Source organism: Homo sapiens, chromosome 1, assembly GCF_000001405.40.
Source record: "Homo sapiens chromosome 1, GRCh38.p14 Primary Assembly".
Taxonomy (NCBI): Eukaryota; Metazoa; Chordata; class Mammalia; order Primates; family Hominidae; genus Homo; species Homo sapiens.
In genome coordinates, this window is record NC_000001.11 from 180,752,719 (window position 1) to 180,767,229 (window position 14,511).

At 37.4% G+C, this 14,511-nt stretch overlaps 1 protein-coding gene and 1 pseudogene across 4 annotated transcripts in view; both read left to right on the forward strand.

The window, feature by feature from the left end:
- The window catches only part of XPR1 (xenotropic and polytropic retrovirus receptor 1), a 258,258-nt gene that overhangs the window by 120,697 nt on the left and 123,050 nt on the right, over positions 1-14,511 (forward strand). The gene's annotated exons all lie outside the window — the stretch shown is intronic.
- On the forward strand, positions 6,004-6,099 carry LOC124904687 (uncharacterized; annotated as a pseudogene).

Here is a 14,511-nt window from a genome sequence, read left to right on the forward strand (position 1 = left end):
CTGGAATGTTTTGGTTGTACAGTAAAATTGAACATTTGGTTATTATTTTTAGAAATACAAGAATTTCCAAAACACAGATCTTCTGGCCTGTCACTTGTGGCCTATACTCTTTGAAAGTGCTCAAAATAATAAAGGTCAGGTTATTGATAATGATTTTAGATAATAGAATTTAAAAATAATTCTGTAATTTTATATTGAAACATTAAGCCTTAGAAGTTGATAGAAGTATTGTGCATTACAGAAGTACCAAGTAGTTAAAAGTTGCTCTTAATGATTTAAAAAATAAGAGCAGAAGATCGTTTAGCCATACATCATGTAGAAAGAACATTGTGTTGGCAGCATGATCTGAATTTGAATCCATATTCTGCCCCTTAGTCAACTGTTGGCAATCACTTTGAGCCAACTTTGCTTACTACAAAATGATAATTGCAGTACTCACATTTCAAGATTGTTGTATGCAAGTTCCTAGCAAAGGACCTAGCATGTCGTAGAAATTCAGCAAATAATAAAGTAGAGCAATTGAAAAGTACTTGTTAAGGCAATCATCTTTAAAGAGGCACTGTGGGCTGGGCATGGTGGCACACTCCTGTAATCCCAGCAGTTTGGGAGGCCAGGGCTGGCGAATCGCTTGAACTCGGAAGTTCAAGACCAGCCTGCGCAACGTGGTAAAACCCCATCTCGACAAAAGTTAGCTGGGCATGGTGGTGCGCCTGTAGTCCCAGCTACTCGGGAGGCTAAAGTGAGAGGATGGCTTGAGCCCAGGAGGCGGAGGTTGCAGTAAGCTGAGATCGTGCCACTGTACTCCAGCTTGGGCAACAGAGTCAGACCCTGTCTTTAAAAAAAAAAAAAAAGCAGTGCTGAAAATGTTAGAACTATCACTTTAGTTGCATTACTAATAAATAAGCTGAGGGGAAGACTAATTTTCTCTTTTTTTAGTAGTTTTATAATACTCATTTCAGTTACTCAATTATGTGACATATTAACTGTCAGTTTGATATATATCTATATAGTATATTGTATTTTGGCTGAGAGAAGGAAAAGTGTTCTACTTATAGTCCTAGCACACTGCTAAACATATATTTGTGTGGTTAACAAATTGGTGAATATGTGTTTTAAATTGCACTTTTACTTTATTTTCACAACTGCTGTTCTTATAGTTGTTTTATAGTACTATTTCCCACCATTCAAACCTATCTGTCCTGAAACATGTCAATCATTCTTTAGAGCCTTTATATTTTCTGTACCTTCTGCTCTTACATCTTTGCAAGTCTGACTCCTTATCTTTCAACTCTCAGGTCAAATGCCACCTTCTCCAAGTTTTTCTTTGACTACCGATTCTAAAGTCACTCTCTCGACACTTGTTCAACTATCATATCACCTAGTTTCATTTTCTTCATTGCCATATGACTATTTGAAAGTGTCTCAATTTATTTAATTACTTAACTTCTGATAGAATGTCAGTTTCCTAAAAGCAAGATCCTAGTATGTCTTATACTATTATCTATTCTGGCTACTAGGTTCTTTCTCTGTCTCTAATTTATTTGTTGTATTCCTTTTAATTGATAGGTATATGAGAACTCATTATACTTTCCCCTCTAGTTTTATATACATGTGAAATTTTCCACAATAAAAAGTTTTTTTATAAAGGATTAAATGGATTTATAGTATAGAAAAATATTTAATACAGAATGATATGAAACCCAAGTTTGTCCTGTACTCTTCTCCTTTCTTGTATTTTTTGTTTTTATTTTATTTTTTTTGAGACAGGGTCTCCCTGTATCACCCTGGCTGGAGTATACTGGTGCGATCTCATCTCACTGCATCCTCAACCTCCTGGGCTCAATCAATCCGCCCACCTAGGCTTCCCGAGTATCTGGGACTGTAGGTGCGCATCACCATGCCCAGCTGCTTTTTGTATTTTTTTGTAGAGACAGGGTTTCGCCATGCTGCCCAGGCTGGTCTTGAGCTCCTGGGCTCAAGCAATCTGCCTGCCTCAGCCTCCCAAAGTACTGGGATTACAGGTGTGAGCCATCGGGCCCGGCCTCCTTTCTTGTATTTTAAAATATGTGGTGAGAGTAGGTTTTCTCCTTTCTCAAAAAATTTCATGTCTTCCTTTCTTTAAAAAGTCTTTTGTCCCCCTCACTCCCCTGTGATAATTTAGTCCGAAAGCCGAGCACATGGTGTTAAGCCTGAATGGTTTGAGGATAATATCTGCATGGGTGGGGGTGGGTCACTGCAACCATGGGATATTACACACATAGAATTGATCGAATAAGGAAATATGTTCAAAGTAATGGGAACCAGGTTTCTAACTTTTAGAGAAGGAAGTTACCGATATGGAGAAGGAGAAAACTAGAATGAACCCTAATGGTGTTAGATTGGCTAAGAGATATTACTATAATCTCTTGGTTTTCAACATATATTGATAGATGTAGCATGTGTCGATGTATACACATATGCTTAGCTCTGTCCACTGAGAGGGCCTGGAAATCGACATCCCAATAACAGTGAGCACACTCAGTGTCCAGTTGTTGGTTTCTAAATATAATTAGTTCTGCTGTAACATTTGTTTTGCATCATGAGTTTATTTCAGTGCAGTTAATAAGTTAAGAAGCAGGTGAAATACAATGTAAATTTTACATTTATTTCTGCATGATTTTGTGTTTGAGAAACACTAGGTGAACTCAGGATACTGTATGTAGCTGAACCGAGCTGTGTAGAAATACACAAAATGCATACATGTGCACACCTCACACATCTACCAGCTACTTCAGTTACTGCTTGTGTTATTTGTCACACTCATTTACAACTGGTGTAAACTTTCCCTGATTTCATATAGCTAGCCCTCTGCACTACTTCACAATAATCCATAAACTAAAACCCTTCTGACACCCACTTCCACAAGCAAACTTCAGGTCTTTTTCAAAAGTAAAATGCCATGTTTATTATGGTATTTATGTATTTCTTAACCTTTAACATTTATAAAACTGTGATACCATTTTTATTAGGTTCCTATTTTTTTATGTGCCCTGATGAAGGTTTGTAGTTTTGTGCTTCTAACCCCACTTTTCTCATAAGCCCTGTGGTTTTATTGAATGACTTTGCATAGTGCAGTGATCTTTAGGAAGATGTATGTCACCTTGTAGATCTGACTGAACCTCTCTTCATTAAAACAAATCAGAGCTCCTTGAAGAAGGTACTCAGGAGCTCTTCCTGATTCCAGGGCTGGGAGAGGGTCAGAGTACCTCCTCACAAAGTGCTTATTAATTACAAGAGGAAAACAAATTAATTTATAGTGGAGATGTCTCCCACTTAAGTCATCACCTTAATCAAGAGATCACAGTCACCAGTAATCAAACAAGTCTGTCATGTGCCATCTGATTAAATGCAGTGTGAAGAATAGAGCATCACTTCTGTGATATTCCTGCCAAAGATGCATAACTTAAATCCAATCAGGAGGAATCATCAGACAAACCTGAATTGAGGCGCATTTTACAAAATAACTGTCTTGCAATCTTCTGAAGTGTAAAGGTTAAAAAATCAAAGAAAGATTGAAGCTGTGTTTCAGATTGCCACACTTGTCATTTTCTAAGTTTTAAAATTATAGCCATCCTGGAGGATATGACGTGATATCTCATTGCAGTTTTTATTTGCATTTATCGTCTGGGTAATGCTGTTGAGCATATTTTCATATGCTTATTAGCCATTTTTATTTCTTCTTTGGGATAAGTCTATTCACATCCTCTGCCCATTTTAAAATTGTGTAGTCTTTATATTATTGCATTATAAGAGTTCCTTATAAATACAAGTCCTTCGTCAGTTGTATTGGCAAATATTTTCTCCCATTCTATGTTTACCTTTTCATGTTATTGATGGTGTCCTTTGAATAACAAAAGTTATAAATTTTGATAAAGTCTAATTTATCTCATTTTTCTTTCATTCATTGTGCTTTTAATGTCATATGTAAGAGAGGTTTGTCTTATCTTCAGTCATGAAGATTTTCTTATTTTTATTTTCTAAGAGCAATGTAATGATAGCATTGTGGGTGATACTTAGTAATGAAAACGATACTGGAAAAAGAGGAAGGTCTTTGCTCCATTTTGAATTAATTTTCGCACATGATAGAAAGACTCTCCCTTCATTCTTTTGCATATGATATTCAGTTGTCCCACCACCATTTGTTGAAAAGACTAGTCTTTCTCACATTGAATTATCTTGTCACCTTTGTTGAAAATCAGTTGAACACAAGTGTGAGAGTTTATTTCTGGACTCTCAATTCTTTTTCGTTGACCTATGTTTATTCTTACATCAGTACTATGCTATCATGATATTATAGCTTTATGGTAAGTTTTAAAATCAGGAAGTATTAATTCATCAACTTTACTCTTCTTTTTCAAAATTATTTTGGCTCTTTTGGGTTCCTTGCATTTCCATATGTATTTTAGCATCAGCTAAAATTTAATCTATCTTTCAAAGTAGGGGTGACATTTCAACAATAAGTAAGAAAGTATGTTTTTCAAAAGTATACTAAATGGAGACAGCACTTTGGAAATGGGTATTTGGAAACGGGATTTTGTTGTTGTTGCTGCTCCTGAAAAATACACACATAAATCCTTCTGCCTCTACAATAAAAAATTTGGAAACAACTTTTTAGATTTTAAAAGATCTCACAAATGAAGAATGTCAGTGGATTTTGAATACATCAGAAAAAAACTAAAGATGCAGCTAATGCTATTGGTTTGGAACAGCAACTGATGGCTTTCAAAGAAGATGGAAAGTTACTAGGCCTTTTTTTTTTTTTTTTTTAAAGAGTTAAGGTCTTGCTCTTTGTCCATGCTGGAGTGCAGTGGCCCAATCATGGTTCACTGCATCACTACAACCTCAAACTCCTGGGCTCAAGAGAGCCTTCCGCCTCAGCCTTTTGAGTAGGTAGGACTACAGGTGCACACCACCATGCCTGGATAATTTTTACAAATTTTTTTGTAGAGATAGAATCTTGCTGTGTTGCCCAGGCTGATCTAAAACTTCTGGCCTCAAGCGATCCTTCTGCCTCCCAAAGCACTGGGATTGCAGGTGTGAGTCCCCACCCCTGGCCTCACTGTCTTTTTGCTTATTCTCTGCTCTGTGGTATAAAGATATTGTTGAAAATGTAAAAAAAAAAAAAAAAAAAAAAAAAAAGCCTGTACATACCCCTATGGGTTATAGTGATAAGAAAAAGAGGAAGCCTTTATGTTGATGTTGATATGTAGTAGAGAAAGCCCAGCTATTGGAGAAACTGGATAGTAGTTTAAATGTGAAATGTCTTACAGAAGAGTATGGTGTTGGAATGACCACCATACATGTCCTAAAGAAATAGAAGGATATATGTATACATATATATGAACATATAGAAGGATACACACACACACACACACACACACACACACACATTATTCAGCCACATTTAAAAAAGAATGAAATCCTGTCCTTTACGGCAATATGGATGGACCTGCAGGCCATTGTGTTAAGTGAAATAAACTAAGCACAAAAAGATAAATATAGCATGTTCTCATTCATATGTGGGAGCTAAAAAAATAGATCTTATGAAAATAAGGAATAGATTTGTGGTTACCAGAGACGGGGAAGGGGAGGAGGGGATATGAAGGGAAAATAAATAATATAAAAGTATTTATTACCACTGAAGTATACACTTAAAAATGGTAAAGATGGACCAGCCATGGTTGCTCATGCCTGTAATCCCAGCACTTGGGAGGCCGAGGTGGGTGGATCATTTGAGGTCAGGAGTTCAAGACCAACCTGGTCAACATGGTGAAACCCCATCTCTACTAAAAATGCAAAAATTAGCCAGGCATGGTGGCGCATGCCTGTAATCCCAGTTACTCAGGAGGCTGAGGCAGGAGAATAGCCTGAACCCAGGAGGCGGAGGTTGTAGTGAGCTGAGACGGCGCCACTGCACTCCAGCCTGGACAACAGAGCGAGACTCCATCTCAAAGAAAAAAGGTAGTGCTCGCTTCGGCAGCACATATACTAAAATTGGAACGATACAGAGAAGATTAGCATGAGGATGACACGCAAATTCGTGAAGCGTTCCATTTCTTTTTTCAGCACCACACCCCACCTATTCCAAAATTGACCACGTAGTTGGAAGTAAAGCACTCCTCAGCAAATGTAAAAGAACAGAAATTATAACAAACTGTCTCTCAGACCACAGTGCAATCAAACTAGAACTCAGGACTAAGAAACTCACTCAAAACTGCTCAACTACATGGAAACTGAACAACCTGCTCCTGAATGACTACTGGGTACATAACAAAATGAAGGCAGAAATAAAGATGTTCTTTGAAACCAATGAGAACAAAGACACAACATACCAGAATCTCTGGGACACATTCAAAGCAGTGTGTAGAAGGAAATTTATAGCACTAAATGCCCACAAGAGAAAGCAGGAAAGATCTAAAATTGACACCCTAACATCACAATAAAAAGAACTAAAAAAGCAAGAGCAAACACATTCAAAAGCTAGCAGAAGGCAAGAAATAACTAAAATCAGAGCAGAACTGAAAGAAATAGAGACACAAAAAACCCTTCAAAAATTAATGAATCCAGGAGCTGGTTTTTTGAAAGATCAACAAAATCGATAGACCGCTAGTAAGACTAATAAAGAAGAAAAGAGAGAAGAATCAGATAGGCGCAATAAAAAATGATAAAGGGGATATCACCACCGATCCCACAGAAATACAAACTACCATCAGAGAATACTACAAACACCTCTACGCACATAAACTAGAAAATCTAGAAGAAATGGATAAATTCCTCGACACATACACCCTCCCAAGACTAAACCAGGAAGAAGTTGAATCTCTGAATAGACCAATAACAGGCTCTGAAATTGAGGCAATAATCAATAGCTTACCAACCAAAAAAAGTCCAGGACCAGATGGATTCACAGCCGAGTTCTACCAGAGGTACAAGGAGGAGCTGGTACCATTCCTTCTGAAACTATTCCAATCAATAGAAAAAGAGGGAATCCTCCCTAACTCATTTTATGAGGCCAGCATCATCCTGATACCAAAGCCTGGCAGAGACACAACCAAAAAAGAGAATTTAGACCAATATCCTTCATGAACATTGATGCAAAAATCCTCAATAAAATACTGACAAACCGAATCCAGCAGCACATCAAAAAGCTTATCCACCATGATCAAGTGGGCTTCATCCCTGGGATGCAAGGCTGTTCAACATACGCAAATCAATAAATGTAATCCAGCATATAAACAGAACCAAAGACAAAAATCACATGATTATCTCAATAGATGCAGAAAAGGCCTTTGACAAAATTCAGCAACCCTTCATGCTAAAAACGCTCAATAAAGTAGGTATTGATGGGACGTATCTCAAAATAATAAGAGCTATCTATGACATACCCACAGCCAATATCATACTGAATGGGCAAAAACTGGAAGCATTCCCTTTGAAAACTGGCACAAGACAGGGATACCCTCTCTTACCGCTCCTATTCAACATAGTGTTGGAAGTTCTGGCCAGGGCAAACAGGCAGGAGAAGGAAATAAAGGGTATTCAATTAGGAAAAGAGGAAGTCACATTGTCGCTGTTTGCAGATGACATGATTGTATATCTAGAAAACCCCATTGTCTCAGCCCAAAATCTCCTTAAGCTGATAAGCAACTTCAGCAAAGTCTCAGGATACAGAATCAATGTACAAAAATCACAAGCATTGTTATACACCAATAACAGACAAACAGAGAGCCAAATCATGAGTGAACTTCCATTCACCATTGCTTCAAAGAGAATAAAATACCTAGGAATCCAACTTACAAGGGATGTGAAGGACCTCTTCAAGGAGAACTACAAACCACTGCTCAATCAAATAAAAGAGGATACAAGCAAATGGAAGAACGTTCCATGCTCATGGGTAGGAAGAATCAATATCGTGAAAATGGCCATACTGCCCAAGGTAATTTATAGATTCAATCCCATCACCATCAAGCTACCAATGGACTTTCTTCACAGAATTGGAAAAACCTACTTTAAAGTTCATATGGAACCAAAAAAGAGCCCGCATCGCCAAGTCAATCCTAAGCCAAAAGAAGAAAACCGGAGGCATCATGCTACCTGACTTCAAACTATACTACAAGGCTACAGTAACCAAAACAGCATGGTACTGGTACCAAAACAGAGATATAGATCAATGGAACAGAACAGAGCCCTCAGAAATAATGCCGCATATCTACAACCATCTGATCTTTGACAAACCTGACAAAAACAAGCAATGGGGAAAGGATTCCCTATTTAATAAATGGTGCTGGGAAAACTGGCTAGCCATATGTAGAAAGCTGAAACTGGATCCCTTCCTTACACCTTATAGAAAAATTAATTCAAGATGGATTAAAGATTTAAATGTTAGACCTAAAACCATAAAAACCCTAGAAGAAAACCTAGGCAATACCGGTAATTCAGGACATAGGCATGGGCAAGGACTTCATGTCTAAAACACCAAAAGCAATGGCAACAAAAGCCAAAATTGACAAATGGGATCGAATTAAACTAAAGAGCTTCTGCACAGCAAAAGAAACTACCATCAGAGTGAACAGGCAACCTACAAAGTGGGAGAAAATTTTCGCAACCTACTCGTCTGACAAAGGGCTAATATCCAGAATCTACGATGAACTCAAACAAATTTACAAGAAAAAAACAACCAACCCCATCAAAAAGTGGGCGAAGGATATGAACAGACACTTCTCAAAAGAAGACATTTATGCAGCCAAAAAACACATGAAAAAATGCTCATCATCACTGGCCATCAGAGAAATGCAAATCAAAACCACAATGAGATACCATCTCACACCAGTTAGAATGGCTGTCATTAAAAAGTCAGGAAACAACAGGTGCTGGAGAGGATGTGGAGAAATAGGAACACTTTTACACTGTTGGTGGGACTGTAAACTAGTTCAACCCTTGTGGAAGTCAGTGTGGCAATTCCTCAGGGATCTAGAACTAGAAATACCATTTGACCCAGCCATCCCATTACTGGGTATATACCCAAAGGATTATAAATCATGCTGCTATAAAGACACATGCACACGTATGTTTATAGCGGCACTATTCACAGTAGCAAAGACTTGGAACCAACCCAAATGTCCAACAACAATAGACTGGATTAAGAAAATGTGGCACAGATACACCATGGAATACTATGCAGCCATAAAAAATGAAGAGTTCATGTCCTTTGTAGGGACATGGATGAAACTGGAAACCATCATTCTCAGCAAACTATCGCAAGGACAAAAAACCAAACACCGCATGTTCTCACTCATAGGTGGGAATCGAACACTGAGAACACATGGACACAGGAAGGGGATCATCACACTCTGGGGACTGTTGTGGGGTCGGGGGAGGGGGGAGGGATAGCATTAGGAGATATACCTAATGCTGAATGATGAGTTAATGGGTGCAGCACACCAACATGGCACATGTATACATATGTAACAAACCTGCACATTGGGCACATGTACCCTAAAACTTAAAGTATAATAATAATAAATAAAAAGAAAGGTAAAGATGGCAAATTATGTATGTATATTTTACCTCAATAAAACATGAAGAAGAAACAGAAATATAAACTGTTGAAGTTCTGTGGTGAACGTTATGAACAGAAGTTAATTAAAAATAGAAAAACTGCATAAAGCTAAAAATGAATTATCTTGATCATACATTGTAAGAGTGGACCCATCAGCATTCCAGTGAATACATGCCATTTAATGGTATGCTGTTCATAAAACAAGCAAAGATCTTTCATGGTGGACTAAAAATTAAAGGGAACTGTGAACCAAAAAATTAAGGGAACAGGCTGGCCTTAACTTTTTAAAGATTTGTGGTGAATGAGCATCTGCTGATCACAAAGCAGCAGAGAAATTGACTAGTTTTCCAAGGGATCGCTGATGAAAATCAGATACCAGAACAAGTCTATAATGCTAATGAAACATTACTGTTTGGTGTTATTGCCCCAGAAAGACACTGACTACAGCTGATGAGATAGTTCCTATAGGAATTAAGGATGCCTATGACAGAGTAACTCTACTGGGATGTACTAATACAGCAGACATGTATAACTATAAACTTGCTGTGATAGTAAAAAGCTTGCATCTTTACACTTTTTTTAAAGAATGAATTTCTTGCCAGTCTATTCTTATGCAACAAAAAGGCATGGATCACCAGCGACATTTTTTCTGATTGGTTTCACAAACATTTTACACGAATGACTTGCGTTCACTGGGAAGCTGGACTGTATGACAACCGGAAGATTTTGTTATTCCTTGACAGCTGTTCATCCTCCAGCTGAAATTGTCATCAAAATAGTGTTTATGCCGTGGAATTCCCCTCAAATGTTCATTAATTCACCCATGTGACCAAGGTATATTTAGATTAATGAAGAATAAATATAAAAACACTGTCTTGAACAGCATGCTAGAAACAGTGAACAGAGGCATGGATGTGGAAGGTTTGCAGAAGGAGTTTAGCATGAAGGATGCTGTGTATGCTGTTGCCAATACTGGGAACACAGTGACTAAAGACACAGTTGTGCATACTTGGCATAATCTCTGGCCTGTGACTATTTTCAATGATGATGATGAACAAGGTGGTGACTTTGAAGGATTTTGTATGTCAAGTGAGGAAAAAATGATATCTGACCTCCTTACATATGCAAAAAGTATACCCTCGGAGTCTGTGGGTAAGCTGGAAGAAATGGATATTGAAGACATTTTTAACATCAGTACTGAGACTCCAGTTGTTCATTTGTTGACCAGTGGTGAAATAAATGTTTCTGAATCAAGGTGATTGTGATAAGAGCAATGATGAAGATGATGATGTTTAACACAGTAGAAAAAGTGCCCATATGTGACATGGCAAAAATATGTGATGGGCTTATTGAAGGACTAGAGCAGCATGCATTCATAACAGAACAAGATATATTGGTCAGCTTATAAAATTAAAGAGTGACTTCTAAATCAAAAACTGTTGCTAATGAAGCAGATGACTCTGGAGGAAACACTTTAAAAAGCCATCCAGCAGATGTGTCCTTATCCCTAGAGGACCCACTTCCTGGTCCCTCAGTTGCTTCCAATATTTTATCTCACCTAAAAAAATAAAATACTGTGTACACAATAACCCTTTAATCAAAACATAGAATTGTAGGTTGTTGCTGTTGTCTAACAGCTGATACAGATATTCTGGTGATGCTACTGTGTTTTTACCGTGAATGCATTATTTTTCACTTTGTTAATGGTATGCCTTAATTTTTCCTGATAAGTACTTATGTGTGAATATGTGTAAGAGAGTGATTGCTTGTCATTATAGTGTATAAATTCAAAGTTGGGATTGATGGTGATGCCAAACAACCACAGATCATTTACATGGGTGGCTGAGCTAGTGACACCTTTGCTTTCTGATTGTTCAGTGTACACAAGCTGTTTAATGCGCAAAATTATTAAAAATATTGTATAAAATTACCTTCAGCCGATGTGTGTAAGTTGTATATATAAAACATAAGTGAATTTCATGTTTAGACTTAGATTTTATTTCCAAGATACCTCATTATATATATGCAAATATTCCAAAATCCAAAAAAATTCCAAACCTGAAACACTTCTAGTCCCAAGCATTTTGGAAGAGGGTACTAAACCTGTAATCTTTTTTTTTTTTAAACTGTTAAAACTTTCTTGTTATTTTTGTTTCTGTTTTTGTTTTTTGAGATGGGGGTCTCACTCTGTCACCCAGGCTGGATTGCAGTAGTGCGATCATGGCTCACTGCAGCCTCGACTTCCTGAGCTCAAGCAATCCTCCCACCTCAGCCTCCCATGTAGCTGGGACTACAGGCATGTACTACCATGCCTGGCTAATGTTTGTATTTTTTGTAGAGGTGGGGTTTTGCCGTGTTGCCCAGGCTGGTCTTAAACTCCTGAGCTCAAGTGATCCACCCGCCTCAGCCTCCCAAAGTGCTGGGATTACAGGTATGAGCCACCGTGCCCAGCCTTATGGATAATTTTTTTTCTTTTTTTTTTTTTTTGAGACAGGGTCTTGCTCTGTCGCCTAGGCTGGAGTGCAGTGGCGCAATCTGGGCTCACTGCAAGCTCCACCTCCCGGGTTCACGCCATTCTCCTGCCTCAGCCTCCTGAGTAGCTGGGACTGCAGGCGCCCACCACCACACCCAGCTAATTTTTTATATTTTTAGTAGAGACGGGGTTTCACTGTTTTAGCCAGGATGGTCTCGATCTCCTGACCTCGTGATCCACCCGCCTTGGCCTCCCAAAGTGCTAGGATTACAGGCGTGAGCTACCGCGCTCGGCCCTTATGGATAATTTTTTATGTGCAGGAACTGTTATAAGAATTTTACAAGCATTGCCTCCTTTAATCCTCGCAACAGTGCTATGGATGAGGTAAGTGCAGAGAGTAAGTGACTTGTGTGAGTGCTCAGTGAATGGAAGAGCTAGGATTTAAACCTGGCTGGTCTGGCTCTAGTCATTTTTTTATATCCACAGTATAGTCTGCCAAATTCCAAATTAACTTTACATTTGCCTCAATGCCAGCCAATCTAATCTTCTTACTAACTTGCTCATGCATTATGCTGGACTGATTTCAGTATTCTGTTCTAAGTCAGTTATGCAAACTATTTTCCTTATTTGTTTATATCTCTTCTCTCTGACTACTAGATCTTTCTTAGCCTCCGAAAATCTAGGTCAAGTTCCATCTACAACTACTTTCAAATACAGTTGTCCTTTGGTATGTGTTGAGGGTTGGTTTCAGGACTCCCCTCAGATATCTATCAAAATCTGTGGGTGCCCATGTTCCTTATATAAAATGGCATAGTATTTACATATAACATAAGTACATTTTCCTGTATGTTTTAAATCTTCTCTGGATTACTTATCATACCTTATGCAATGTAAATACTATGTAAATAGTTGTATTGTTTTTAAATTTGTATTATTTTTTATTTTCTTTTTTTTCCAAATATTTTCGTTCTGCAGTTGGTTGAATCTGAGGTTGGTTGAATCCAAGGATGGGGAACCCATGAATATAGAGGGCTGACTGAATATGCTCCCTTTTTTCTGAACTTTTTAGTGTATTGGTAGTACTGTGAGTTTTACCATTTCATCATTCTCATTTTCTTTATGGTGCTAACATATTTTTCAAGAAGACAGTCAGTTCTTTGGTGCAGAAATTTAAGAGACAGTAGGAAAAAAGAAAAAACAAAAGACACCGAGATATATAGAGTTTAACTGGCTGTGGTCTTATAAGTTATCATTAATGGATTTAAAGTAGAACTTAACTTTTCTTTTCCTGGTCCACTATCTCTGTCATCATTCCCTCCTGCCTCCCAATTTAGTAAATTTTGATTCAGTATTTGTTGTCTTATTTAATATCTGCATTTGTTGGTAATATAGACATACCCTAATGCTATGAGACCAATGAGGCAATAATGTGCACATTTCCAAAAAAATGCAACCTAGGCAAGTAAGAGATATTTTCTGTACAGATTGGTGCTGATGGGAAGGATTGAAATTAATATTAGCAAGAATGAAGATAGTTTTGGTAAATCACATTACTTTTCTGATGCACAGAGTGTATTTTGATGTCATTAAGGAAAGAAATGCTGAATCTGGTACATAATAAACATGCAGTAGACATTATTTGGGTATGTTTGATTATCAAATATAATTCTAAGTAGTAATACACTTTTGTGCTTCTAGCCCAGGCTTGAGATGTAAACTAAAGGGAAGAAATATAATTTCAAAAAGTATTTTAGAAGAAATTGTCGTCACAATCATAAGTGAGTTATTGTAAAGTATTTCTAACATTAAAAAAAAACCTTTTGTGAAATTGTAATTTAAAATAAATTGTGGAGAATAAGTTCAGAGTTCTGGTGGCTTAAAAGTAAAAACATGTATTTGTTCTGGAGAGGAGAAATGATTTCAGGGAGAAAAAGTACAAATGAAAATCAACAATAAGTACATTTTCATTTTGTATCCCTAACTTAGCATCTATTTTTTATGCCTTATTATTTCTTACATTTGGGGTGAAATAGTGAAACAGTGATCTATAAATTTATTATTTTTGCTTCCTAACTCCATTTGACAAAAGTTTTATTCATACCCTGGCTTAATGTAGGTTTTGTTACCAGATAATTACATTTGTCCCATATATGGTGACCATAGTCATGATGCTACATAAAACTTCTGATGGTGAAGCTATAAAGACATGCTCAGCTCAAAAGACAAAAAGTAAATTCTGAAGGACATCCTCTTTTTCCTTCTTTTCTCGCTCTCTCCATTCCTCACTTGACCAAGTTCTTGTTAGAGCCTACAAATGGCTATTTGGATTTAAAAGGGGGAGGGGAATCCTACTAATTGAGTTCCAGACAAGTTCTGTTTGTTACTTTTCAGTAAGAAAGAAGTTTTTGTAGTAAACTTTCCAGCTTAAAAGCAATATAAT